Here is a 27,462-nt window from a genome sequence, read left to right on the forward strand (position 1 = left end):
GTGTCTGTTCATATCCTTCGCCCACTTTTTGATGGGGTTGTTTGTTTTTTTCTTGTAAATTTATTTGAGTTCATTGTAGATTCTGGATATTAGCCCTTTGTCAGATGAGTAGGTTGCAACATAGACCTTCTTTTTAAGAAATTTTGAAATTTGGAAGTAACTTCAAGTTTATGAAAAGTTTAAAGGTAAAAAATAGTACACAGACTGTCCTTACAGGCTTTACCAAGATGTACCTGTTGCTAACATTGTACTCTGTTTGCTTTGTTGTTTGTCCCCTGCTCTATATGAACACACATGGGTATGTATGTATGTATGTGTATGTATGTATATGTGTGTATGTATGCATGTATGTGTCCATCTGTCTGTATGTATGTGTATACACACAATTATTTTTCCTGAACCACTTGAAGGTAATTTACACTTATCATGAGCTTTATCCTAAATTCTTTAGTGAGTATTTCCCAGGAATAGGGATATTTTCTTACATTACCACAATATAGTCATCAAGTTCACAGGTTTACATTGAGACAGAACTTTCATCTAACCCACCACCCACACTGCAATCTTATTTGTTGACCCCATCATGTCCTTGGCACTATATGTGCCTGCAGTACAGGATTCTGCGTAGGCTTGAATATTGCGTTCATTCACCGTGGCTCTTTAGCCTCCTGTAATCTGGAACATTTCCTCCACCTTTCTTTGTCTTTAACGACATTGAAAAGTCAAGGGACTTTTGTGATGGGCCATGGGCAGAGGCGGTTTTGCCTACCGATTAAGAATACGGATGCTGGCACCCAGCTGCCTGGGCTCAGTCCCACTCTGCCATTTATCAGCCTGGTAAGTGTGGGAGAGTTGCTTAACCCTTCTGTGCCTCAGTTTGATCATTCATGAATCCAGTGAACAGTTAGCCTGTCTCGTGGGGCTGTTAGGAGGCTTGGCACACAGTAAAAATGGGCAACCATTTGCTTATTGTTATGGTGGCAAGTCTTTTCTTGAAGGGGCTCCCAGTGCATCAAGCCTCACAGGGGTGCCTTAGCATTGGCTCAGGAATCAGGACCAAGCGGGGCCTGTGGCAGCCTGCAGTCCTCCCTGACTGTACATGCGGTTAGCCTAAGGACTCTGTGGTCTGGACAAGCAGCCATATCCTAAGACGGTAGCAGAGACCATGCCAGCCAAAGACTCAACAGGGATGTGGCTACCTTAACAGACAGCAATGTGAGGACCTGGGACCCTCCAGGAAGTGAAGCCCTTCCCAATTACCAGTGTGGCTGCGGATAAGTCCCACACTGTCGAGTTGACCCCAGAAGAGGTACCTGGAGAAGGGACCCGAGAAACCACTGAAGTGATTCATCGTACCTGAACGTTGCTGGATGGCTTCACCACCCTCAGGTGCACAGAGCCTTCAAGATAGAGCCTAAGTTCAGCTATAGGAAAGGCAGGTTTTGTACAGCTGCCATGATGCCTCCCAGTGGAAGGGCTGAGCAACCCCTAGAGACTTCTCCTAACCAGGTATTACTCCTCCTTCTCTTTTCTGACCTAGAAAGGAGCCAGGCAATGTGGAAAAGGGGCTTAAAGGGCTCCCATGAGATGAGCAGAGCGCATGGAATAATGAGTGGAAGCGACTCCAGACAGCCTCCTGATTTCTGAAGCTCAGTTCTCCCCTGACACCTTCCGTGAAGGCTGCTGTATATAGCCTGCTAACCATCAGCCCGTCTATCCACGAATCTACCCATCCAACTGTCTGTCCATTCACTCATTCATGCATCCACCCATCTCTCCATCCATCCTCCATTCCTCCATCCGATGAGGAAACACATATCCTACAGCCTCCATATCCTTGCCTCACCATCTTAATACAGTCATGCGGGGCTTGACCACAGGGATCTGTTCTGAAAAACGTGTCATTAGTCGATTTCACCATTGTGTGATGTCATAGAGTGCACTTACACAAACCTAGATGGTACAGCCTACTACACACCTCGGCTGCAGGGTACAGCCTATTTCTCCTAGCCAGCATCACCACAAACATGTGAGTGATGCTTTGCATTATGATGGCGATGAGGTCACTAAGCCATAGGAGTTGTTGAGCTCCTTATCACCTTATGGGACTCAGTGGCATACGCAGTCCACTGTTGGGCGGAACATCGTTCCGCAGCACACAACTGTGCTTGCTCACCTGGCTTTGTCAAGGAAGGAGCTCTTCCATGGATATGTTTTTCTGTTGTTGTTCCAGATAACTTTTATCCTTTTAAGAGTGCCACCTTCATTTAGTTTAGTTTAGCCATTTTAGAGAGAAAGTGCTGAAACCGACTGTAAACTTGTCTGTCTTTTTTTTTTTTTTTTTTTTTTGAGACGGAGTCTTGCTGTGTTGCCCAGGCTGGAGTGCAGTGGCACGATCTTGGATGACTGCAACCTCTGCTTTCTGGGTTCAAGTGGTTCTCCCACCTCAGCCTCCTGAGTAGCTGGGATTACAGGCATGCGCAACCATGCCTGGTTAATCTTGGTATTGTTAGTAGAGATGGGGTTTCACCGTGCTGGCCAGGCTTGTCTCAAACTCCCGACCTAGTGATCTGCCCGCCTTGGCCTCCCAAAGTGCTGGGATTACAGGTGTGAGCCACTGCGCCAGGCCCTTTTCTTTCTTCCTTTCCTTTTCTTCATTTCCTTTCCTTTCCCTTCCTTCCTTCCTTCCCTCCCTCCCTCCCTCCCTCCCTCCTTTCTTTCTCTTTCTTTCTTTCCTTTCTTTCTTTCTTTTTCTTTCTTTCTTTCTTTCTCTTTCTTTCTTTCTTTCTTTCTTTCTTTCTTTCTTTCTTTCTTTCTTTCTTTCTTTCTTTCTTTTTCTTTTCTTTTCTTTTCTTTTCCCTTCCTTCCTTCCTTCCTTCCTTCTTTCTTCCTTTTTCTTTCCCTTTTTATTGACAGGATCTCACTCTGTTGCCCAGCCTGGAGTGCAGCAATCTCGGCTCATTGCAACCTCCAACCCCTGGGTTCAAGCAATTCTCCTGCCTCAGCCTCCCGAGAAGCTGCCAAGAGGCTAATTTTTTTTTTCTCCTGCCTCAGGCTCCCAAGAGGGCAATTTTTTTTTTCTTCGTATTTTTAGTAGAGACAGGGTTTCACCATCTTGGCCAGGCTGGTCTTGATCTCCTGACCACGTATCCACCCACCTTGGCCTCCCAAAGTGCTGGGATTACAGGCGTGAGCCACTGTGCCCAGCCTTGTCTTTCTTTTTAAAAGAGGGCCTGGCACTTCAGTTAAGTCTTTCTGGATGATCCAGGTCACCGCTCCAAATGGAAGTCACATGCTTGGTTGTGGAGCCAGTGGTATGGGCCCTCAGGGAGTATTTAGAACTCTACACTAAATGGCCCCAGTGGTTCTGCTTTTTGACACTTCCTTTTGTACTTTCTGCCACCCCCCCATTCTGAGATCCCAGTTATCTTCCCAATTCTTATAGCCCTTGGCATGCTTCTAGCAATGTCTTCTCTAAATGGCCTTGAGCTGGGAAATTTGATAACCAAATGTGTCAGAATTGTGCATAAAGCAAGAGTACTGAGTTATTTCTTTTATCATGAGTACAGTACGGAGCCTCCTGACTTTGTATCCCGTCATTTGCCTCATTCTGGGTTCTCCGCTACTCTCCAGGCCGCTGAGGTCCATGGATGCATAAGCCCTAGGAATGAGGAGGGTGCAGTGGACATGAATTGCTCTTCCTAGATCCTTGCTGCTTTTGCTCTAGAGAAAAGGATGGGATACCAGAGCCTGTCCTGGCTGACTCCTCCCTCAAAGGGGCTCGGGGGAGATGGGAGCACAGGGTGGGGCCAGCTGGGTCAGTGGTGCCTGAAGCTTCTGAGGGAGAGGAGAGTGGCTGGGCCCCACTGATAGTGTGCAGGAGGCTGAGGAAGGGACACTTGCCTCCTCCTCACTCTGGGTGACGATGGCCAGTGTAGACTGGAGAGAGCCGGAGGGACTGGTCTCCCCTCAAGGCCCGAAGCAGGACTGGCACCAGCGGTGAGATGGGCACCTGGGGTGGGGGCCAGGGGTCTCAGCCCATAAACACCCCACACGCCACAGCAGCACACAGGGGCTCCTTTAAATACACAGCTATGGGGACTCCCAAAATGCAGACGTACACTTGCACTCACAAGGGACGCACTTCCATAGCTGTAACAACCCATCAGGGAACTGACCACACACACTCCGGCGGGAGGTCCTCTTCACTTCCTTCCCTCCACGAAGATCTCTCCCCTTCACCACGGACACAGTGACATGTGCTATCCAATTGTGACAAACACATCATCTCTGAATTTGGACACTGGGGTCCCATTTCAGAAGGTGACAACCCTCACACCAACAACTGCACCTACTTTCTTACAGGGTTGGATGCCTATAACATGCCTGCATGGTGGGACAGCAAGCGGCTGATTGCCCGCACACACTCAGATGCACGCTTGCACACATGCTCACACATGCTTACATGCACACTCACACTTGCCTTCAGACACACATGGGTCCAGGCAGGGCCCTGGCTTGGCCTGACCTGCTTCCCCTGTGCTTTCTGCAGCTGCAGGGGGTGCTCTGCCCTCCTCTGCGGGGTTTCCACCCCCTCTGTCCTTGGGCCTTGGATTCTGGGGGGCTGGTGGACTGATGCCAACATCCTCCTCTCTCTCCCCAGGATTTTTGTCAACCGCAGCCTGGCGCTGGGGAAGATTCGTTGCTTTGGCTTCGACATGGACTACACTCTGGCTGGTAGAGAGGGCTGGAACACAGCGTATTGGGAGCTGGAGGGAGCAGGGGTGGGCAGCTGGGCACCAAAGCCCTGATTCTGTCCGGGCCTCTGCAGCCTACAAGTCCCCAGCTTATGAGGCCCTGACCTTCGAGCTGCTGCTGGAGCGCCTGGTGTGCATTGGGTACCCGCATGAGATCCTGCGCTACACCTACGACCCCACCTTCCCCACCAGGTGTGTGGCTCAGGACAGGTGGGAGGCCACCCGGCCTTGGTACCCCCACCCACAGTGCCCCCCGACCCCCCGTCTGCAGGCGGCTGGTGTTCGATGAACTCTATGGGAACCTGCTGAAGGTGGACGCCCACGGGAATGTGCTGCTGGGTGCCTATGGCTTCACCTTCCTCTCGGAGTAAGGGACAAAGGTGCCGGGAGAGTGGCAGGCCAGGAGGGGAGGACTGCTCACCTTGGGGGAGGACAGAGGGAGGGAGGGAGGAAGGACGCAGGCCCACGGTGGAGGCTCAGCACAGAAGGGATGCGTGGTGGTTGGAAGGGATGGCCAGAGCCTGGACAGGCCTCCAGGAGGCACTGGGGAGGGGTCATTGGCTGCACCCAGCCTACCCCTCCTCAGGGCAGAGATCTGGAGCTTCTACCCCAGCAAGTTCATTCAGAGGGACGACCTGCAGTGTTTCTACATACTCAACATGCTCTTCAACCTGCCTGGTGGGTGGAGGGTTGGGGGCACGGGAGGTGGTCCTGAGTTCCGGAGCTGAGGGTCCCAGCTCTGTCCTGGTGGAGAACTGTCTGGCTCCCTGGGCTGACAACTGACCATCCTGTCTGCCCCCAGAAACCTACCTCTATGCCTGCTTGGTGGACTTCTTCTCTGGCTGCTCCCGTTACACTAAGTGCGTCTTGTGCCCTGCCCAGCCCTGGGACGACCAGTAGGACACTGCTCAGGGACCAAACCCCAAAGAGGGGCCCCCCAAGGGCTCCCCAAGAGGCTGGAAGGGCTCCAGGAAGCTCAGTGGGAAGGCCTCTATTGCAGGCTAGCACACACCCTTAGCTCTGGGTGATGCCCCTCCCAGGATGTCTGGGACATAAGCCCAGTGAAGGCCCCAGTGTGGCTGGTGGGGTTGCTCTGGTGTGGGACTCAGGGTTGGAGGTCATTTCAGGCCCCCTTATTGGCCTCCCCGTCCCCTCTTTGCCTGCCCCAGTTGTGACACCGGCTATCAGCATGGGAACCTCTTCATGTCCTTCCGAAGCCTCTTCCAGGATGTGACTGATGCCATGAATAACATCCACCAGTCGGTGAGTGAGTGGTCCAGAACCCCCGGACCCCTGACCTGTCTGCTCTTGGTTCCCCGGGCAGCCTTCAGGCCTCCAGTCCCCATAGCGTTTCCATCCTCTTCCTACTGAGGACTGAGGTCTGGTCTGGGCTTCCCAGAGCCGCCCACTTTTCTCATCTTGGACACAGACATGTGGGTGGGTACACATGCACACACACACACACACACACACACACACACACAGGCACTTTGCTCCCTCCTGCAGGGCTGTCTCAAGAAGACCCTGGAGGACTTGGAGAAATATGTGAAGAAGGATGTGAGTGGCCACAGACCCAGGGCCATGGCCATCACCCCCAAAGCAGCAGGGCTGCCCCCGCAACCCTTCTCTGGCTTTCTTCGAGGTTTAGGCTGAGCTCTGCTCCCCGGATGGCTGGGGATCTTTCTATGGGGCCTGGTGCCTACCTGCCTGGGCTGGGGTGGGCTCCCAGAAGGCTGAAACCTGAGGAGAGGATCCCAGGGCAGCTCTGGGAGTCCCACCCCTGCAAGTCCCTCTATCTCTGCCCCAGCCACGCCTCCCCATCCTGCTGGGGAAGATGAAGGAGGTTGGGAAAGTGTTTCTGGCCACCAACAGCAGCTACAACTACACCAATGTGAGTATGTGTATGGAGGGGTGGACCGTCGGCCTCCTTCCTGGCCCCAGGGGACACAGTGGCACTGCAAGCAACAGGGAGGGGTGGGGCGGGGAGCCAAGACCCTCCTACCCCCACCACTGGGCTGGTCTCCTGGACTCCATTTCTTGGCCTTTCAAGGCCTCAGAAGAATGAGCAACTTTCTCACCATCTTGCTCCTGTGGCCACCAGTGTGCTGGGGGGATGGTGGGTGAGGGCAGAGGCAGGTGGTGGCCCAAGCTTGGTGCCCTGACGCTGCCTTGTCCTTGCCAGGCCATCATGACCTACCTGTTCAGCATCAGTGAGGTGAGTGTTGGAGTGTTGCGTGCACGGCTGGGGTGGGCTGTGCAAAGGGCCAGGGTGCCAGGCTGCACCACGATGCTGAGGGCCTCTCCCACGTCCAGCCTCCCTTTGAGGAAGACCTGAGTGTGTGAGTGGTCATTTCTCATGAGTGGAAGCTCCCCAGTGGGTAGGAGCCTGGTGACCTCAGCCAGGCCCTGGGAGGAGCCTTTGGGGGTGATAGGAGGCAGTCAGGTATGTGGGGACGGGCGGCAGAAAGTGGGTGAGACGAGGGCATGGCAGGTCAAAGGGAGGGGTGCTGGGAGTGACAGGTCCTGGGCACTGGGAGTGACCAGGTGTCACTGGGCAGGCAGCAGGGCCCTAACTAGGTAGCCGTGCTGGTGCCACCTGTCCCTGGGTCTCTGTGCTGTGAGGAGCTCTGGAGCCTGGCCTGAGGCTGCACATGATGTTCAACACCCACCTCCACAAGGTCCTTTTGAGCACTTCCTAGTGCCCAGCTTGGCTGGGGAAGCTGGGCAGCGAGACCGGGTTCCCAGGGGCTGAAGAGGTCTCATCCAGCTGGGAGGTTGGTGGGGAGAGGCAGGCTGTGGTGGGTGACTGGCTGTGGCAAGGTCAGATTTACCAGGCTGTGTGTGTGCAGCCCGTGTGCACCCCCAACAGGCTGAAGCCTCGGGCAGGCCCTGGAGGTCCTACTTTGACCTGATCGTGGTGGACACGCAGAAGCCCCACTTCTTTGCAGAGGGGTTGGTCCTGAGGCAGGTCAACACGGTAATGGCAGGTGCAGAGGTCAGTCCACCTGCACCCATGGACCACGGTTGGGGAGGGCAGCCTGCCTGCCCCTTAGACTTGACCTGCCTTTATAGCTGGCAGCTCTGCTGGCCTGTCTGTCCCTGGAGGCAGGGAACCCGAGGCCGCCTTCAGCGCCCTCTGCTGCCTCCTTCCTCCCACACCCCCCATGGTTACCTCTGCCACTCCCAGCTCCCTGCGACCCTCCCTAGCTAGAGACCAAAGATGTGGTTCTCCTGGCTCCAGGGCACCCCTCTGCCCCTCCAGGACTCAGGAAAGCTCCACGTGGGCACCTACACAGGGCCCCACCAGCACTGTGCTGTCTACTCTGGAGGTACCAGCTCCCACCATGCCCCATCACTCCTTGGGCACCCTCCTTCCCTCGACTAGGAGCCCAGGCCCCTCACCTGCCCCGAGTCACCTACCCCAAGGCAGGAAGGGCAAACGAGTGTCTGTCCTCCCCTTGGTGGGGCAGGCTCTTCGGACATGGTGTGCGAGCTGCTTGGGGTTCGGGGGATGGACATCCTGTACATTGGGGACCACATTTTTGGGGACATTCTCAAGTCCAAGAAGCGTCAGGGCTGGCGGACTTGCCTGGTGGTTCCTGAGCTGTCCTGGGAGCTGGACATCTGGGCCCAGGAGAAGGGTGAGCTGTTGGGGTCTGGAACAGTCAGAGGGGCACTGGCCTCCCATGCAGAGGCCCCAGCACTGCCTTCTCCTTTTTCCCGTGGGGGGTTAGTAGTTGTGACCAGGAATCCTGGCCACTCTGTTGTTTCTGAGGGAGGAAACAGACAAAGACATACAGACCCAGAGAGGCTAAGCGGCCTGCCCGAAGTCACACAGCCAGTAGGGGGAAAGCTGAGAGTCAAATCCACTTCTCCTGACCCAAGAATCCCGTGGTGTTTCTGCAGGCGGTGCCTTCCTCCTGCACCTGACCCCACCCTCCCCACCCACCCCAAGGATGTTCAGTGAGTGGAAGGTACACACCTTCCACCCAGGTATGACTTGAAGTCATCCTCCAGGGCAGGGAGTTGTGTGAGCCCACACAATTTGGGCTTTGTCCTGAGAGCTGAGGCTTTAGGTTTGAGTCATTGCCGTGTGACCTCAGGAAGGTCACCTGACTCCCTCACCTGTCCCATGGGGCCTACGGGGCCTATGCTGTCCCTGCCTCAGTCTGGGCAGAGTCTCACGTGATGTAAGGGGCCAGGGGTGTTATGCACACAGCTCAGGGTGTGCAAGTCCTCCGCTGGGCCAGGGCAGACACAGGCAGGCAGGGCCAGTGGGTGACACAGGCCGTCACTCACCCCCACTGACCCCTGGTGGCTTTTCAGAGCGGTTGGAGGAGCTGAAGAGACTGGACACGCACCTGGCAGACATATACCAGTGAGACCCTGGCCTTTCTGGGGGTGGGATGGGGCAGGGAGAGGTATGGAGGGGCAGTGGCTCACATCCCTGCCTGGCGGCGAGGTCCCGGCCAAGGTTGTCAGAACATCAAGATCTGTTTCAGGCTGGGCTTCCCTAGCAAACTGAATGTGGGGACCCCTCTCACCCCCTTGGGACTGCTCACACTCTGTGACCTCTAGGCCCTTCCTCTGAACCTATCCAGCACTCAGGGACCTGCCCTCGCACGCATGCACACACCCAGCCCGGCACCCCCACTGGATGCCCGCACGGTGTCCCCCCACCCGACCCCTGCTGGGGTCTAAGGAGACTGTCCTGGCACTCGGAGGCTCTGTGCCTCCCCTGGGTCACCTAGCTATTTTTGTACCAGGCACATGGATGGGAGCAGTTGTGAGCTGCAAGTCATCAACTTCACCAAGAGAGAGATCCAGGTGGGAGCTGGGTGGCGAGGGAAGGGACAGGCCCAGCAGGGGCGGAGCCGGGTTCACTTCCCCACTGCTTGCCTGTCGGCTTTGTCCTCGGTGCCAAAGGCCCAGTTACCCCATTCTCCTCAGCCTCGCCTGGGCTCCACCTGCCTTGTCAGCCAGCGCCCTCTGCTGGCCGACATTCCAAAGGGCAGCGGTACCCTCTTGAAGGGCTGAGTTGAGCCTGATTTGCAGGCTTTGCCTCCAGTCCCACAGTCTTTGCCAATCACCCTGCCCGGGAAGTGCCTGCGTGCTAGCTGGGCCCTTATTGACTGACTAGCCAGTTCTGATAGGAAATGTGATTTAGGGCCAGTGAGCCCAGGGTCCTTGGAAAAGAGAAGAAAAGACAGTGTTCCCTTGTGGCATTACTGACCGGCCACCAAAAAGCTGGAGGTGCCCATGGGTCAGCCAGGTGGAGGGAGTCAGGTCACTTGGTCATCCCAAGCCCAGCTGGGGCCGATCACAAAGGGTCTTTGCAGAGCCTTTTACAAAGCACAGCCGTTTGATCTTCCCCACAGCCTTAAGAGGTGGATGGAGCAGGGATTGTCACCTTTATTTTACAGATGAGGAAACTGAGGCTCAGAGAGAGGTCATCCTGGGAGTAAATGTTGGAACCATTCTCTAGGCTCTAAAAGCAGACAGGAAACAGGGCCTGGTGGCGGGGTGGGGCCTGCCAGGATAGTAGGAGCGAGGCTGGGGGTGTCGCCTTGCCAAGTCCTCTGTTGGACTCAGATGGTAAATGAAGCTGTGGGTTTAGTCCTGGGTGGTCCATCTTCAGGGCCAGGCAGGTAACTGTGATGGAAAGCTGCAGCGGGGCCTGTGGCAAAGTGAGGAGCTGCCCCACCTCCAAAAGCCAAGTGTGCAGCCTGTGGGTCTACAACATGCTGCTCCTTCCTACAGAGAGTCACAGGTTTCAATGTCCCCCGGTGAGAGGCCCAGAGAGGCCAGGGTTGCCCAGAAAGGGAGTAGGCCAGGTCAGGCCTAAGCGGGCTGGGATTTCAATTCAGTGTGTTGCCCCTCTGGCCAGAGGGTCACCCAGGAGCTGGACCTGTGCTACAGCACCATGGGCAGCTTGTTCCGCTGCGGTTTCCGCCAGACACTCTTCTCCAGCCAGCTGATGCGCTATGCCGACCTCTACACTGCCGCCTGCCTCGACCTCCTGTACTTCCGAGTGAGCTCAGCTCTCTCGGGCGGCCCCGGAGTTGGTGGGTCCCTGCGGAATCTCCACGGCTGTTTGTGAACATTTATCCTAGAAGGACCCACTGGTCCCCAGCCTTGCTAGGAGCTTGCAAGGTCACCAGCCCTAATCTCCCACCTTCAGACTCAGTGGGATCACAGTCTTGCAGATAACTGTCTGTGTCTTAACAGACGCATGGGAAGAGTTAGGTTTATACAGATAAGATGCCTCGGCAGGGATGTTCTTCCTCATGCCCAACCTTAACTCCTGCTTTAGATTGAGACCACACTATCTCGTCATTTCCTTGGTAGAAAGGATATCAGTTGCAAGGAGGAAGGCACAGTCCTCCTACCCTCAGTAAACATACAGTGGCTTCCGAAGGGGTGGAGGAGGCAGCAGATGATACAGTAAACACTCTGGCTGGTTTTCCTCTGGGAGACCGGAGGATGCTTCTGGGTTAAAAACAGGGTGGTAGAGGTGGCTACGATGGCACTGGGCAAGGGTTAGTAGGAGTCATGGGACTGGCCAGCTCAGGGCTTCCCTGGAACCTGCACGTGTCAGTCCTCCCAAGTTGGCATCATCATTTCCATTTGATAAGACGTAGAGCTTGCAGTTTAGGATCTGAACTTGAAGCTAGACCTCTGAGGCTCCCTGTCGCCTGCCTTCCCTGCTGCCCTTGGCTGCCTTCCAGACGTTTGAGAGGGGAAAACCATTTATTGAGTGTCTGCTGTGTTTCCTGCACTGGGCTGGGTGCTTTTCATCGATTATGCTTAATGCTCAATATAACTCAGCAAAGTAGGTTTTATCTTCCTCATTTTATCATTGATGAGGAAGCACAGAGAATCTAAGTGACTTGCCATCACACAGCTAGTGGACCACACAGCTGGGATGTGAGCCTGTCAAGCTCCAGGGGTCACACTGTGTCTCCTGCACTGTGCTGCCACACACATGGGGGAACTGGCTTTCACCGGGCGGCCTCATCTCATCTCTGGACTCTTAGATGGGCTGGCCCAGACCGCTCCTGTGGGCAAAGCTGGGGGTCCAGGCATAGCCCTCTGTGCTGGTAGATATTATTGTTAAAGTAGAGACCAGACAGGTGAAGAACACACCAACCCCCCATCCCCAAAAGTGACAAGGCGAAACACTTAAAGAAATTTGACCTTGCCAATCTTCCTGGCTTGGGATTTTTTTTTTGGCCAAGTCTAGCTCTGCTGCCCAGGCTGGAGTGCAGTGGTGCAATCTCTGCTCAATGCAACCTCCACCTCCCGGGTTCAAGCAATTCTTGTGCCTCAGCCTCCCAAGTAGCTGGGATTACAGGCATGCACTACCATGCCCAGCTAATTTTTATGTTTTTATAGAGACAGGGTTTCACCATGTTGCCCAGGCTGGTCTTGAACCCCTGGGCTCAAGTGATCCGCCTGCCTCGGCCTCCCAAAGTGCTGGGATTACAGGCGTGAGCCACCGCGCCTGGCCTTGGCCTGGGATTTTTGAGGAAGTGAAGTCCAGCTGCCAGAACCTTCCTGCCCCTGCTGACCTTCCGAGGTTCCTTCCTCTGCAGCAACATCGTTGGGCAGGAAGTTGGCAGCTGTGGGCAGGGGAGCCTGTGCATAGCTGAGGAATCCTGGAAGGCCGTACCCGGGACGGAGTGCTTCACCTCCACCTGCATTTATCCCTACAGATGCCACATGAGTCAGTTGTGGAGCAAGAACAGGCCAATCTAGACCCTGCCTCCTGCCTCCTCTCCTGCAACCAGAGGGTGAGTGGCTGTGGCCGACGAACTCTGTGGCTTGGGGTCCCATGGGCTAGAGTAGTGGTTCCCAGTGGGGTTGTATCAACCCCAGGACGCATGAGGCAATTGGTGGGGGGGCTTGTGGGCTTGTTTTTGTCTGCAAGCATAGTCATTCCTCATTATTTATGTAAAAATGCGTATTATTTTATTGTAAAATGCTTTTCTCTTTATTTCTCCTTTGTTAGAGTATTATCTTGATACTTTAAATTATAGAGATGATAATTGTATCGATGAATTTCAATTCAGGATGGAAAAGTAGAAGCTAAATATTTGTTTTTAAAATGGGATATTGGAGCCAGGTGTGGTGTTTCACACCTGTAATCCCAGCACTTTGGGAGGCTGAGGCAAGTGGATCACCTGAGGGCAGGAGGTCGAGACCAGCCTGGCCAACATGGTGAAAACCCGTCTCTATTAAAAATACAAAAATTAGCTGGGCATGGTGGTGGAAGCCTCTAGTCCCAGCTACCCGGGAGGCTGAGGCAGGAGAATCACTTGAACCCAGGAGGCGGAGGTTGCGGTGAGCTGAGATTGCACCACTGCACTCCAACCTGGGCAACAGGGAAAGACTGTCTCAAAAAAAAAAAAAAAAAAAAAGCGACAGTTGGATCCAAAAGGGCGACAGGTTCTGCTCAGCAGTGCTTTGTGCACTGTTGGGCCCTGCACCCCTACGGACTGCTGTTGGCCAATCCATACACATTATTCCCTCCAGGGGAAGTTGCAGGATGTGCCCTCTTCCACATTGAGGCTTCCTCCCCAGACAGGCTTTGTTAACATTAATGACTAGTGGCTCTAGCTTCAGATCCCTTTGACACTTTGTGAGGCTTGACCCGCGTCTGAGCTGAGACAGGAGTGGATGCCTGGATTCCTCGTTGGGTTCTGCACCCCCAAAACCCTGCATAAATGTTCCTCTTTCTCCCTTGGCTTTCTGGGGGCTCACTTTAAAAGATGTGTATCCCATAGGTCCCCTTTAGCTGGGTTGTACCAGGCACAGTGTTTGTTCTTTCAACCAGTATTTACTGAGCACCTCCTGTGTGCCGGGCAGTTTAGAAAATAAAGTGTAAGTTACTTCATTCCTGCCTAGGAGAAGCTCAAAATTCAAGTGCATTCACAGGCTTTAATCAGTGGTTGGCAACTGTTTTTCTATCCTAGCCCAGCAGAGAGATGGACACACTCCTGTCAGTAACAGAGGCTTGCTGGGGAAGCCTGTGGTTTGATCCCTCTATATCCTCACCCCATCAGGATCCAGCCTAGGGCATTTTGACACATTATCTACCCCTGGTTGGGCGTCACTGTGTGAGCTTGGGAAGAAAATATCCATAGTCACTTTCTGTGTTTCTTATAAGGGTTAGGGCAAAGAGAGAAACGAGGATCAGGAAAGTTACATCGAGGCTGACGGAATCCTGGACATGGGCTGGCATCACGGGCCATCTTCTACTTGAGATATTTTTCAGATAACACAAGTATGGAAAAAGGAAAAAGCAACTGTATTGAAATCTCCTAAATGCAGCAGATTTGGAGCCTGCAAACACTTCTTTTAGGGAGGAGGCAGTATTGCTCTTAACCTAGAAGGCATCCTCAATGGTCTTTGAGACGTTTGGAAACGTGTGCACAAGTGAAATTATTTTACCTACTTCTCTTGAACGCATGATGTCTCATATCCAATTTTATTTCTAAACATTTCTTTTAAAAAATAGTTATTTCTGTGCACTTCTGATTCTGTTACTAGTAAGAACAGTAAAACCTGATTGGCTATATATTGCCTCACTAACTGCTCTTTCATTCTGGGTCACTACGAAAGATGTTAAATGAGATAGCCCAAATGTCTTTGAGTTTGTGTATACACATTAAAACACATAAAAAGTCATACTCATGATTTTAAAACTTGACTCTCGAATGTGTTAGAAGCTTCTCTGTGGTATTAAAGTGCTGAAGCATCATTGCTCTGATGTCACTGATTTCAGTTTACTCCTACAGTTTACTTTTTGTCTGTTAGTGGTATCATCTGGCATTCTGTGGAGACCTAGGTTGAATCTGCATGTTTGAAATGACAAAGTAAACCCTTGAAGGAACAGGTCTGAGGACACACTTCATTAGCTTCATTTTCTGTGGATAAACAATGGCAACACTTAGATACCTGAGGATAAATAAGGGACAACGGGCCATGGAATCAGAGAGTTTACTTTTTTTTTTTTTTTTTTTTTTTGAGACAGAGTCTCATTCTGTCACCCAGGCTGCAGTGCAGTGGCACGATCTCGGCTCCACCTCCTGGGTTCAAGCAATTCTTCTGCCTCAACCTCCGAGTAGTTGGGATTACAGGCATACTCCACCACACCTGGCTAATTTTTGTATTTTTAGTAGAGACAGGGTTTCACCATGTTGGCCAGGCTGGTCTCAAATTCCTGACCTCAAGTGATCCGCCTGCCTCGGCCTCTTAACGTGTAGGGATTACAGGCGAGAGCCACCGAGCCTGGCATTTTTTTTTTTAAAACATCTTCTTTGCATTTCAGAAGCTTCCAGGTTTGACACTGCCAAGGCCTTTTCTTCCTTTCCCTGGTTTGACTTTCAGGTCCCAGAGCCTGCAGGGGCAGGTTCTCCAGTAAATCCCAGGTCTCACTGGCCTGTGTCTTTACAGGGGCAGGTTCTCCAGTAAATCCCAGGTCTCACTGGCCTGTGTCTTTACAGGGGCAGGTTCTCCAGTAAATCCCAGGTCTCACTGGCCTGTGTCTTTACAGGGGCAGGTTCTCCAGTAAATCCCAGGTCTCACTGGCCTGTGTCTTTAAACGCTTGATTCTTAGTCAAGAGCTAAAGGATAGTATTTATCAGAAAAACTGCTCAGACCCTAGAGCCCATACTTTTCCGGAAAGGTCCTGAAATATAGTGTGGTAGCTAACACTACAAAAGTCAAATCTCAGAATTCCTACCCAGGGTAGAGAGGATACAGAAAAGGACTGAGGGATAAACAATCTGGCAGAAATGCTTTAGGGGATCCTAGCGAGGGAAAGGAGAGAGGTGGCCAAAGGGCCTTTCTTGTGCTTTTCCTATGTCTGGCCCATTCCCTGCCTCTTCTCCCTGTTACCTCCGCTCTCCCCTCAGCGAAGATCCCTGACTAGACCAGTTTCTCTTTAGTCCCTCGCTCATAGGCCTCTATTTCTCAGGACTTGGAGTCTTGCATTTGTGGTTCCTAGATTAACACGTGTCCTCACTAGACTCTCAGCTCCAAAAGGTAATGTCCTTTTGGCTCACCGTTGTGTCTCTGGCATCTACGTACCTGTGTATTTTATTGAAAGACACATGTCACCCAGTTTATTATTACTCTTGTAGAACTGCAGGGAAAGGGCAGGACAAAGAATATGAGAAAAAAGAAAGTGGAGAAAGGATATAGGGCTTTGGATTAGAATGCTACCTCCTACCCAGACACATTCATGAGAAAACTCATATCCTTAGACAAACTCCTAATTCTGTATCTGTCCTACCTCATGGGTAGGAGGTAGGACAGATACTTCTATTTGGGTAGTTTTTTTTTTTTTTTAAACTTAATGTCACCTCTACACTCCTGTTTTATCTATACCTTAGGGACAGAAGCACACCATTGCTTCCAAGACTGTGTGCAGACACTGACATTCATCTCCCATTTCTGGAAGAATTTTTAGCTGGGCATGTGGCCATCTGATACACATTTCCCTGCTTCTTTAGATGGGGTGGGAGGGGGGGACATGGGACCAAGTTCTGGCCCCTAAATTCTGGACAGAAGTAATGGTCCAACTTCCAATCCGTGACCTCAGGAGGGGCATACCTTCCCGTTCCTCTCTTCCCCCTTCCAGCTGGCTGGAGAGTGAAGTTGGGTGGGAGCCTTCTTTGGCCACATGGACGAGGCTGCCTCCAAGGGATGGTGGAGTCACAAGACAGACATAGGCTGGGCTTGGCAGTAGATTAGCATTGGGCTGTCACTTGGATGGCTGATGTGAGAGAGATGCATTTCCATTTGGGACTAGTGACAGCAGCTGAACTGACATCCTCATTCTGGCATCGTCTTGAGCAGTCAGGAAATGAAGAGAACAGAAGCAGCATCTCTGTGGTAGTGAACTAGTGGTAAAAATGTGATCATTTATTTGTAGAATAAATGACAGTACTTTGGCTGTCACAGTGATTCCTGCTTGGTAAACTGGGAACAGTTCAATAATTTATCTTGCTCAGATGTGTTTCCTTATCATCACCTTAGTCCTCATTTCCTTACTTTAAATAGAGATAGGAGTTAAAAGTTCTGAACCTGGAGCCAGACAGCCCTGACTTTGAAATTGCAGGACTGACATTTATTAACTACTCTATTTCCATAACCATGTCATAAAGCTATTATAAGGATATAGTGAGATAACGGACATGGAGCTTGGCCAGAGTAAGCACTAAATAAGTGTTTTCTATGCTATTATATATATGTGTGTGTGTGTGTGTGTGTGTGTGTGTGTGTACATTAGTCAGGATTTTTTCTTTAGCAACTGAAGGAAACCTAATGAAACTGGTTTGAGAAAAAACAGAATTTATTGGTTCATATAACTAAAAAGTCCAGGGTTAGCCCAGCTCCAGGCATAGCATTAACCAGGGAGTCAAATCAATGTCATTGGACATAGCTTGCTCTCTCCAACTCTCAAGTTTATTCCATGTTGGTACTATTCTCTGGCAGGTTTTGTCCATGAGGTTATAAGATGGCTGTTCCCAAACTCCAGATTTCTATCTTTATCTTTTCAGCAACTCTACCAGGAAGCATCTTTCTAATGAAAGTCTGGGAAATGATGCCTCACTGGTTGTGACACTATCCCATCCTCCAATCAATGCCACTGGCCAGGGAGATGCCAAGTTTGGCTTTGCCAGGACTGGGTCACATGCGCATACTGGGGTTGAGTCCATTCTTCTTAACCATGTAGATTGTCAGCAGGAAATGGGTGGTAGTAGGGAAATTGGGGTGCTTTTTTTGTGAGACAGAGTCTTGCTCCGTCGCCTAGGCTGGAATGCAGTGGTGTGATCTCAGTTCACTGCACCCTTTGTTTCCCGGGTTCAAGTGATCCTCCTGCCTCAGCCTCCCAAGTAGCTGGGACTACAGGCACACTCTACCACATCTGGCTAATTTTTGTATTTTTAGTAGAGACAGGGTTTCACTACGTTGGCCAGGCTGGTCTTGAACTCTTGGCCTCAAGTGATCTGCTCACCTCGGCCTCCCAAAGTGCTGGGATTATAGGCGTGAGCCACCGCACCCAGTCTGGGGTGCTTTTATTGGAAAAGGGAGTACATGCCAGGGAGGCAAGAACATTTTTTTTTTTTTTTTTTTTTTTGAGACTGAGTCTTGCTCTGTCACCCAGGCTGGGATGCAGTGGCATGATCTTGGCTCACTGCAACCTCTGCCTCCCAGGTTCAAGCAGTTCTCCTGCCTCAGCCTCCTGAGTAGCTGGGATTACAGGTGCGTACCCCCACGCCTGGATAACGCCTGTATTTTTAGTAGAGACAGGGTTTTGCCATGTTGGCCAGGCTGGTCTCAAACTCCCGACATCAAATGATCCACCCGCCTCGACTTCCCAAAGTGCTGGGATTACAGGCATGAGCCACCATGCCCAGCCTCAGGAACAGTATTTTATAGTATGTAAAAGACTCAGCCGAGTGCCTGGCATAGTGAGCACTAACAAATGTGAACCATCATGCCTCTCCTCTGTCTTCTGGTTCATGGTCATTCTGCACAGAGATGCTATATATAATCCTCCCCCCCCTTTTTTTCTTTCTTTAAAACTTGCTTTACACTCACCTCCTCTAAAAAGCCATCCCCGAACAACATTAGACTTATTTTTGCAAAGGCCCATATTTCCACTACAATTCCCTATGAATCTCCTTCCCAAATCATTAAGGGCCCACCTTCTTTCCTTCCCACTCTCCCTCCTTCCTGCTCCCTATGTCTAGGAGCAGCTATTTACTAAACAAGAGGGTTACTGAGTATCTACAAAGAGTCCCAGAATTAGGGTGCAGTTTTCTGCAGCTGCAGTACCATCCACAATCATTTCCACAACCTTTTGTGTCTGCAAGACTCTATAGTCTGACGAGGCTGATCGAAACCTCCAATGTGCCATTTTGAAACTTATAATTATTAGACACCAATAGTTCAACCTACACTGTTATTGTTGGTACCCAGGGTAATACTGTGAGACATCCTGCAAGGAACTAGCAATAAAGAAAATAAAACTGCTCTTTTGGGAACTAAGCTGTAATGTCAAGACAATGGTTTTGAGGAAAGACATAAAACCACCATAAAGAGACAACTGACTCCTAGGCCTGGGGTCAGGGGAGGGATTTAGGTAGCAAAGATGGACCACTCTAGAAGCCAGAAAAAAAGTAAGTGCACAAGCAATGGATGGCACTGCAGGATCGATCATGAGAACCTGGTCGACGGGCTTAGGACAGTGTCTGAGGTTCAAGGCAAGAATATTCCTAACACAGGACTCACTTCAGACTCTCTAAGCCTGGTGATTTTGAATATTTGATGCCTCTACGTCCTATGTTCAGATTTTGTGATCTCTAAGCAGCCCTCTGAGCATTACTTGGCTTCACAGGTAAAGTTAACTCTAATTCTTGCATTTTGGTGACAATTTTATTTTATTAGGTATATTTAAGATTTACAACATGATGTTATGGGATACATATAGATAATAAAATGGCTGCTATAGTGAAGCAGATTAACATTATCATCTCAGTTTTTTTGTGATAATAGCAGCTAAAATCTACTTATTTAACAAAAATCCCTAATACAATTGTATTAACTTTAGCCCTATCTCTAGACTTGTTCATTTTATCTGCTATTTTGTATCCTTGGCCTGCATCTCCCCATTTCCTCTTCCCCAATCTGTGGTAAGCACTTTCTCTGTGTACTTGAGCTCTTTCTTAAAAAATTAAATATTCCATATGTGAGATCATGCAGTATTTTTCCTTGGGTCTGGCTTATTTCACTTAGCATAATGTTCTCCAGGTCCATCTATGTTGTGGCAAATGGCAAGAACTCCCTCTTTTCCAAGGATGAATACTATTCCACGGCATGCATATGCCGTATTTTCTTTATTTGTCCATTGATGGGCATTTAGGTTGTTTCCACATCTTGGCTATTGAGAATAACACTGCCACAAACATGTGAGTGCAGATATCTTTATGAGGTGATGATTTCATCTTTTTTTTTTTTGAGATGGAGTCTTGCTCTGTAACCCAGGCTGGAGTGCAGTGACGCAATTTTGGCTCACTGCAACCTCCACCTCCCGAGTTCAAGTGATTCTTCTGCCTCAGCCTCCCAAGTAGCTGGGATTACAGGTGCCCGTCACCATGCCCGCCTACTTTTTGTATTTTTAGTAGAGACGGGGTTTCACCATGTTGGTCAAGCTGGTCTTGAACTCCTGACCTCAGGTGATTCACCCACTCCAAAGTGCTGGGATTACAGGTGTGAGTCACTGCGCCCAGCTGGTGATTTCATCTTCTTTGGGTACATACTTACTCAGAAGAGGGTCAGATAACAGTTCTATTTTTAATTTCTTTAGGAGCCTCCATACCGTTTTCCATAACGGCTGCCCCAGTCTACACGCCCACAAACAGTGTACTAGGGTTCTCTTTTCTCCACAATCTCATCAACATTTATCTCATGTCTTGTTAATAGCCATTCTTATAGATGTGAGGTGATAGCTCACAGTGGTTTTAATTTACATTATTCTTATGATTAATGATGCTGAACACCTTTTCATATCTATACCTACTGGCCATTTCTTATGTCTTCTTTGGAGAAATGTCTGCTCAGGTCCTTTGCCCATTTTTAATTATTAGTTTTTCCACAATTGAGTTGTAAGAGTCTCTTATTGAAAGTCTGCTGGTATTACAGGTTTATAGCTCAGTTTTTTGAGCTTTATTATAAATCTGACTTTCAGAAATAGATCTGCTTCCCTTAAAAAAATCTAGTTCCTGGATGAGGCTGATAGACCTTTGATCAAAGTCCATTCTCCTTGGTAATGAATGCTCCTTGTTTCTTAGGACAGCCAACTGGTATATCCTTAGACAAACTCCTAATTCTCTATGCAAAGCCATTATCATGGTTTTCTATAATAAATAAGATAAACAAGCAGGAACTAATAGAAATTTAATGTTGTTTTAAGATAATACTTAAATATTAAGAAAGCTAAAATTTAAAATGTGTTGACTAGGTTTTTCTACACAATTATATTTACATAATGACTAAGGTAAAACCTTTCCACAAATAGTTGCCCAGGAGGAAGAAAAAGCAACCTACAACAGTCTCTGGGGCTTGCACTGCCTTCTCAGGCCAGCTATACCCTAGCTGAGCAAAGAACTGAAGAAGCAAGTGTCCACTCCCCACCCCTCTCCCCTGCCCCCCTTTTGTTACTTGAAGTGTTTCTGAGTAACAAATGCAAAACTAGGTTTGAATATAAAAGCTAGACGACCATGCCAATTCAGGATTGTGTTTCATCTGAGGAGACCTGGCATAGAAAAAACAAGAATTCTCTCTCATTTACAAGGATACTGTGATGAAAGTCAAAGATCACACATAAATTTATGATCTCTGAGCAAAGGCACAGCTAGCATAAACTCATCTGTAAAATGAGGGGTTTTGACTTGGCCATCTGTCAAGGTCCATTCAGCCTGTCAAGCTAGCGTCAAAGTTCAGATCTTCCACGATGAAAGAACTTGCCCTCTGCTAAGGTGGATGCAGAAAGAAAAGTCCCATTATATTGTGGGACCAACCTTCTGATATAAAAAACTATGTTGGGATTAAAGTAGATCAATAAAGTATAAATATTTATCATAGTTGTAGGGTAAATATTCAAAAGTTTGAAATTTATGTATACTGTAAAACTGGCAAACTGGTCTTAAACACATAAAGCAAAGATTTTCCCATGGGGAGAGAAAATTTGAGAGTAAGCCCAGTGAATTACTTAAGTCCTGAGCGTCCATAATCTGCATCCATGATGCCTCTCTTTTTTTCCAGGTCACTTGGACAAGAATATTTCTTGTCTTATGTTGGTTCTGAAACACCTTTTTTAAAAAAAGCATCAAGAAATTATGATTCAGGGGTTTGAAACCCCAATGTTACAGGCAGCGCCTCATTTCTACGGAATATAAAACATTTTGTTTCTTCCACTTCTAACAGTTCATCAAGAGAAGCCACTACTAAATCGTGTTCCTGCAGCATTTCTGGGTAGCGGGACACTGCTCGCTCAATCCTCGACGAACGCCGTACAGGAGTGATAAATTTCATGTCTTGCACTTCCGGCATCCCATTTATTCTGAGAGACAGCAAGAGATGCATTAAAAACCTTATCATTTAAAAAAATTATCTTTATTATTTTTTGTTTCTTATTCAATAATAAAACAGGGAAGACATTTTAACATAGGGTGATACAAGAGATATGTCTAGAGCAGCTTTCATCTTCAGATGGCTTTTTCTAGGAGTTCGAGACCAGCCTGGGCAACATAGCAACACACTATCTTTACCAAAAAATATAAAAATTAGCTGGGCATGGTGGCACACACCTGTAATCCCAGCTACTCAGGAGGGTGAAGTGGGAGGACTGCTTGAGCCCAGAAGGTCAAGGCTGCAGTGAGCTATGATTATGCCATTGTACTCCAGTCTGGGCAACATGGCAAGACCCCAGTCTCAAAAAAAAGGCTTTTCCCTGATTTCCAGAATGTACTGGGTGGTGTCCATCTGTTCTTGGATGGTGTAAGCATAAGGATTTATTGAATGAAGTATGAAGTGTGGTTTTTATTTGAAGTCAAATATTTGGCAGTTGGTGTTCATTTATTCTATAAACTTTCAAAACAGATGACAAGTTTTAAGGAAATGGGGCCTAATACCAAATTTGGTTGAATTAATGAATTCCAAGATTCTTTCTAGCTTTTTCTTTTTAAAGACAGGGTCTCACTCTGTTGCCCAGGCTAGAGTCCAGTGGTGCAATCACAGCTCACTACAGCCTCAACCTCCTAGGATCAAGGCATCTGTCCACCTCAGCCTTTCAAGCTGGTGGGAGCACAAACGTATGCCAGCATGCCTGGCTAATTTTTTATTTTTCATAGAGTTGGGGTCTCCCTATGCTGCCCAGGCCACTCTTGAACTCCTAGGCTCAAGTAATCCTCCTGCCTCGGCCTACCAAAGTGACAGGATTACAGGCATGAGCCACCATGTGCCCAGCCTTTTCATTTTTTTTTTGAGATGGAGTTTCACTCTTGTTGCCCAGGCTGGAGTGCAATGGTGCAATCTTGGCAGACTTGCCTGCTAGTTTTCCTTAGGCTAATGTAATTAGTGGTTTTGTGAATTCTAGAGCCATTAAGAGGTAGTTTTTGGATTAACTGTTTTCATCTACTTATGAGCTGACTGTAGTTCATCCACTTATGAACTGAACTGTTTTCATCCTCTTATGAGCTGACTGTAGTGGGAAAATGGTGTGTGTCAGAGAGTTTAGGATTGGAAGAGATTCGGCTGTGCTTTCCAGGTAACTAAAACAAAGAACTGTTGTCTTGGTGCCCTTGTTTGGAATTCTTTCCAGATCATGATCAGAGAAGAGTGGTGCTACACTCACATTTTAGAAAATGACACTGACGCCCTGACATAGCTCCTTAAATTACTATGGATTCTGCCTTAAATTTATATTTGTTAAAAAATAAAACGTTTCTGACTTTATGAGCAGTCTCTGACTAGTACATACTCCACTGCTCTCCGTTCTTAGAGGGGTATTCACTGTCCCTTTTCTCCCACAGCTACAGAGTTTGCTCCCGCTTGGGACTTTGTGCCCCATCTTATCACCCCAACCATACCCAGCTGTGTCAGGACTTGCAGGAAAGGCAGATAGGATCTGCAAGTGCAGGACAAATGAGAGTGAAAAGGTAGGCGAGACCATAGGACGGGGGTGAATGCATTCTAATACCCCTCCTGACTCTGGCAGCACCTTCCTCACTGCAGGTCAGGTCTCAGTTACTCTAGATCTGTGAAGGAAAAATCGAGACTTGGACTAGAATTAAGTCTGTGAACACAAAGTCTGCTTTAGAGTTTGCTTACCTAGGGATTGGACCAATCTGTAATTTGATACCAGGATAATTATGCTGTTCTGCCTTGGCTATTCGGGGTGTCGCCGTGACTTGTTCCCTCTCTTTTGGAGAAAGACAAGACTTCACAGATTCCATCTTCTTGGCCAGCTCTTCCACTGATGTTATACTAGTTTCAGCAACTAAAGAGTCAGAAGTAATCCCTGTGTATGTAAGATCATGAAGGAAAGTAAGATTTACCAATTTAATACTTCAACTAGAAGTCAATAACATGAAAAATACATACATACAATGATTTCCCAGTGATCTTCATGGGCTCCACATACTGAATAGTGATTGATTTGAAGTGTGACTTATAACTTGTTTTTTCACGTTAAGCTCTGTAGCAGTGTCTTGCTACATCAGGCTACCCTCGTAGCCAGCCCCCGAGACTGCTGTACGTAGATTCTTGACACCCTTTCAAGACTCTGAACATATCTCCAGTCTCCTATTCACTCTCAAGAGAGCTCTCTTAGGGACTAATCACTGGCCTTCTACCCTTACACCACACCTTGGATCAATTTTCTTGACTCACTAAGGTTAACTCACACAACCTCCCAATCCCATTCCTCCCCAGGATGACCACATGGTTACTGCCTTGGACAGTGGGCAAAAACTGTCTTGCATTAATAGTTTTCATGGTAGCCCAAACACAATCACCAAAATGAAAGGAAGGAAATCAGACTGTGCCAGGCACACTGTGGCTAGAGGCTGACACCCTAAGTGAGGTCAATAGGGTGCAACAAAGGCATGGATTCCTGTCTTCTCTTTTTATTCCTTTTAAAACACTACCATGTTTTAACCAAATAACTGAATTGTAGCCTCATTCTCAAAGAATCTACTATTATCTATTTTATGTCCTTCTTACCACATGTAGTGGGTTACTTAGCTACATGACTTGATTGTTCCCCAGTTAAATCTACTCTTTTTTTTTGAGATGGAGTTTCGCTCTTGTTGTCCAGGCTGGAGTGCAGTGGCGTGATCTTCATTCACTCCAAATTCCACTTTCTGGGTTCAAACGATTCTCCTGCCTCAGCCTCCTGAGTATCTGGGATTACAAGCACGCACCACCACAACTGGCTAATTTTTCTTTTCTGTTTTTTTTTTTTTTTTTTTTTTTTTTTAAAGACAAGACAGGGTTTCACCACGTTGGTCAGGCTGGTCTCAAACTCCTGACCTCAGGTGATCCACCTGCCTTGGCCTCCCAAAGTGCCGGGATTACAGGCGTGAGCTACCGTATGCAGCCTAAATCTACTATTAAAGGAAAAAGATTTGTCACCTTTTAAGATAACAAGAAGAATCCAATTTATTTTCTAAAGATAGCTTGTTTTTTCTTTCCATTCATATAACAAGTATCGTAAGCAATTATAATGTCACTCGTGTTTGGCACAATATATGTCTCATAGAAGAGTCTTCTAAAGGTTATGACCACTGACAGTGATGGTCATCCAATTGAAGAGATTCCTGAGATAGCTATTTTTAAAGCGTAACACAAATTTAGATGAGTATGTTGGTGGGTTTATTATGATTAAACATGTAACTTAAGGCATTTCTCCTTTCTGCCTCAGTCTCTTCCAGCAAAGAGCTGTTTGTCTTCTGCCATCTAGGATTCCAAGGAAGTGGGACACTCCAGTCTAGGCTGTTTTGGTGGAAACAACCTTTGTTCAGTATTGAGTAGTGCATTTACTTGTAATAATACAAATAAGTCAGCTGATGACAATGGCTGAAAGGGCCAGGTCATGGAAACCAAGAAGTGAGAAGCATTTCAGGGGATGATTCTTTTCTTCTTTTTCCTATATGTCCTGGATGATTTTTACTGGTACAGCTAGAGAAGATGAATTTAAATTCAAAAATAATAGTACCTTCTGTGGTTCTGTTTGAGTCTTGCAAGATATTAAGAACAACTTTCCGCAACTCTTGTATTGGCTGGAAGGAAGGAAGAAAACATACAAAATCTTAAAAACATTCATGCAAAAAATTTGCTAAGGAACTTTAACTTCAAATACATGTTTTATAATAAAAGTTTCCTTTTAAAATCTCGTCTAACTATAAATCTTTTGTCTAGCTTGACAGTTTTATAGCTTCATGAGAAAAGTAAAGGAACAGAGAAAATTCTGATTAAGTGTTGGCACACTCGACTTAATGAACAGATGTATTTAAAGTTGTCCATAATGTAATTTGTCTACATCAAATTCTATTTTCCTATTGATTTGTATAATACTGTCAAATATGTATTCCTACATAAAAATTCTGGCCCAATGATGTAAAGCTAGCCACACAGAAAATGCATTTTATATATAGATATAGATATATTTTCTTGAGACAGAGTCTTACTCTGTCCCAGGCTGGAGTGCAGTGGCGCGATCTCGGCTCATTGCAAGCTCTGCCTCCTGGGTTCATGCCATTCTCCTGCCTCAGCCTCCCAAGTAGCTGGGACTACAGGCGCCCACCACCACGCCCAGCTAATTTTTTGTATTTTTAGTAGAGATGGGGTTTTACCGTGTTAGCCAGGATGGTCTCGATCTCCTGACATCGTGATCCACCCGCCTCGGCCTCCCAAACTGCTGGGATTACACGAGTGAGCCACTGTACCTGGCCCCAAACACAATGTTTTTTGAGATGGAGTCTCTGTCACCCAAGCTGGAGTGCAATGGTGCGGTATCGGCTCACCACAAACTCCACTTCCAGGGTTCAAGTGATTCTCCTGCCTCAGCCTCCCGAAGAGCTGGGATTACAGGCATGCGCCACCCCATCTGGCTAATTTTTCTATTTTTAGTAGAGACGGGGTTTCGCTACGTTGGCCAGGCTGGTCTCAAACTCCTGATCTCAAGTGATCCGCCTGCCTCAGCCTCCCAAAGTGCTGAGATTACAGGGGTAAGCCACTGTGCCTGGCCCAGATACAATCTTTGTAGGCATTTTGAGTAATTTTCTCCAGCTTTTCCTGTCTTTCTTCTTTTATTTGTTAACATACTTAGAAAAAAAAACCTTCATGGAAAAGTAATTTTCTGATAAAATTATCTGAGATAGGCTTTATTTTTCAAGTATGTAAACCATGCCATGAAGCAGAAGCTGCACTTTCCCACAAGAAAATTATAGTTGGAGGTTTGTCTTCCTTACCTGGAACTCTGTATCAAATAGATATAAACTGACAATAAAGCATAAAAGCAAAGCTTTCCGTACATTTTTTCAAAATCCAAAATAGAATTATGATTTCAGCTAAATGAATGGGAATAAATGTATAGAATATATTACAAAGAGTGAATTCTATACAACATTCATCAAGCATATTTTATATTTGTATAGCCTTCTGGTTAATGATGGTGGATTAAATATACGTTTATTTCTAATCTCTCTTGAAAATCGACTGAAAGGATAATAAAGGGATTAAGAAGAGGCAATAACCACAAAACATAGGAGAGAAGAAATGACAATAAGGTTTTGGAAGCTGCAGTGCAGAAGGAAGAGAGGTAAACAATTTGATCTACTTGAGAGAGTTGAATCCCAAGCTGGCAGTGTGGCTAAGAAACAACCTGACAGAAAGGCTAAGGAATGGGTGGTAGGGCCCAAATTAGGAGGACTCTTTAGCATCTGTTCAAAAAGCAGTCAGACCTCCAAATCCATCCTGCACCCCTAAACTCTATGCAGCCTAGTAACTGTGTCTGACTCCCTTCATCCTAACAGAAAACTGGGAATGTATTCTGCAAGTCTCTGAGGGATATCATGCAAGATTAGGATAGGGTGCTTTCTGAGAAAAGGAGATAAGCAAAAGTTTC

At 48.1% G+C, this 27,462-nt stretch overlaps 2 protein-coding genes across 36 annotated transcripts in view, besides 2 other annotated features; one reads left to right on the forward strand and one right to left on the reverse strand.

Moving 5' to 3' along the window:
• The first annotated feature begins 1,721 nt into the window (after nucleotides 1-1,721).
• On the forward strand, nucleotides 1,722-25,725 carry NT5DC4 (5'-nucleotidase domain containing 4). 32 transcript variants are annotated; one of them, XM_017005477.2, is made up of 17 exons: nucleotides 1,722-2,029; nucleotides 4,664-4,737; nucleotides 4,832-4,949; nucleotides 5,029-5,124; nucleotides 5,329-5,435; nucleotides 5,560-5,617; nucleotides 5,927-6,020; nucleotides 6,264-6,314; nucleotides 6,565-6,648; nucleotides 6,940-6,972; nucleotides 7,627-7,752; nucleotides 8,020-8,086; nucleotides 8,228-8,398; nucleotides 9,084-9,135; nucleotides 9,524-9,584; nucleotides 12,473-12,550; nucleotides 23,366-23,692. In XM_017005477.2, coding segments are annotated over exons 1-17 (1,425 nt in total). In that variant the 5' UTR covers nucleotides 1,722-2,027; the 3' UTR covers nucleotides 23,519-23,692. The 32 variants fall into 32 exon arrangements, 22 of the variants coding, with proteins under 22 accessions (XP_016860966.1, XP_016860965.1, NP_001380584.1 ...); XM_017005476.2 differs by lacking the exon at nucleotides 1,722-2,029 and adding an exon at nucleotides 3,866-3,999; NM_001393655.1 differs by lacking the exons at nucleotides 1,722-2,029; nucleotides 23,366-23,692 and adding exons at nucleotides 3,866-3,999; nucleotides 21,759-21,941.
• Nucleotides 8,941-9,660: an enhancer, noted in NCBI's record as "H3K4me1 hESC enhancer chr2:113483672-113484391 (GRCh37/hg19 assembly coordinates)". NCBI's record gives its function as "activates a minimal SCP1, AML or CMV promoter by ChIP-STARR-seq in primed H9 embryonic stem cells {active_cell/tissue: H9 hESC(primed)}" and the evidence as "EXISTENCE:reporter gene assay evidence [ECO:0000049][PMID:30033119]".
• Nucleotides 9,661-10,379: an enhancer, noted in NCBI's record as "H3K4me1 hESC enhancer chr2:113484392-113485110 (GRCh37/hg19 assembly coordinates)". NCBI's record gives its function as "activates a minimal SCP1, AML or CMV promoter by ChIP-STARR-seq in primed H9 embryonic stem cells {active_cell/tissue: H9 hESC(primed)}" and the evidence as "EXISTENCE:reporter gene assay evidence [ECO:0000049][PMID:30033119]".
• CKAP2L (cytoskeleton associated protein 2 like) overlaps nucleotides 19,195-27,462 on the reverse strand; it is a 28,261-nt gene continuing 19,993 nt past the window's right edge. For all 4 annotated transcript variants that reach the window (NR_130712.2, XM_011510666.3, NM_001304361.2 and 1 more), the window contains 3 exons: nucleotides 25,552-25,615; nucleotides 23,664-23,853; nucleotides 19,195-21,894 (listed from right to left, as the gene is read on the reverse strand). Coding sequence is in view for 3 of the 4 variants with exons in the window: in XM_011510666.3 (XP_011508968.1) it covers nucleotides 21,669-21,894; nucleotides 23,664-23,853; nucleotides 25,552-25,615 (480 nt within the window). In the remaining variant the exon portion in view is untranslated. The remainder of the gene's footprint in view (nucleotides 21,895-23,663; nucleotides 23,854-25,551; nucleotides 25,616-27,462) is intronic.

The sequence above is a fragment of the Homo sapiens genome, chromosome 2 (genome assembly GCF_000001405.40).
Source record: "Homo sapiens chromosome 2, GRCh38.p14 Primary Assembly".
NCBI classification, from domain to species: domain Eukaryota; kingdom Metazoa; phylum Chordata; class Mammalia; order Primates; family Hominidae; genus Homo; species Homo sapiens.

Bases quoted from the DNA above. Each gene is read 5' to 3' on its own strand.
- NT5DC4 (XM_024452799.2), top strand. From the start codon at position 4,383: ATGCCTGCATGGTGGGACAGCAAGCGGCTGATTGCCCGCACACACTCA. The intron at 4,950-5,028 runs GTGTGTGGCTCA...CCCCGTCTGCAG, and splicing joins GACCCCACCTTCCCCACCAG to GCGGCTGGTGTTCGATGAAC. The intron at 6,021-6,263 runs GTGAGTGAGTGG...TCCCTCCTGCAG, and splicing joins TGAATAACATCCACCAGTCG to GGCTGTCTCAAGAAGACCCT.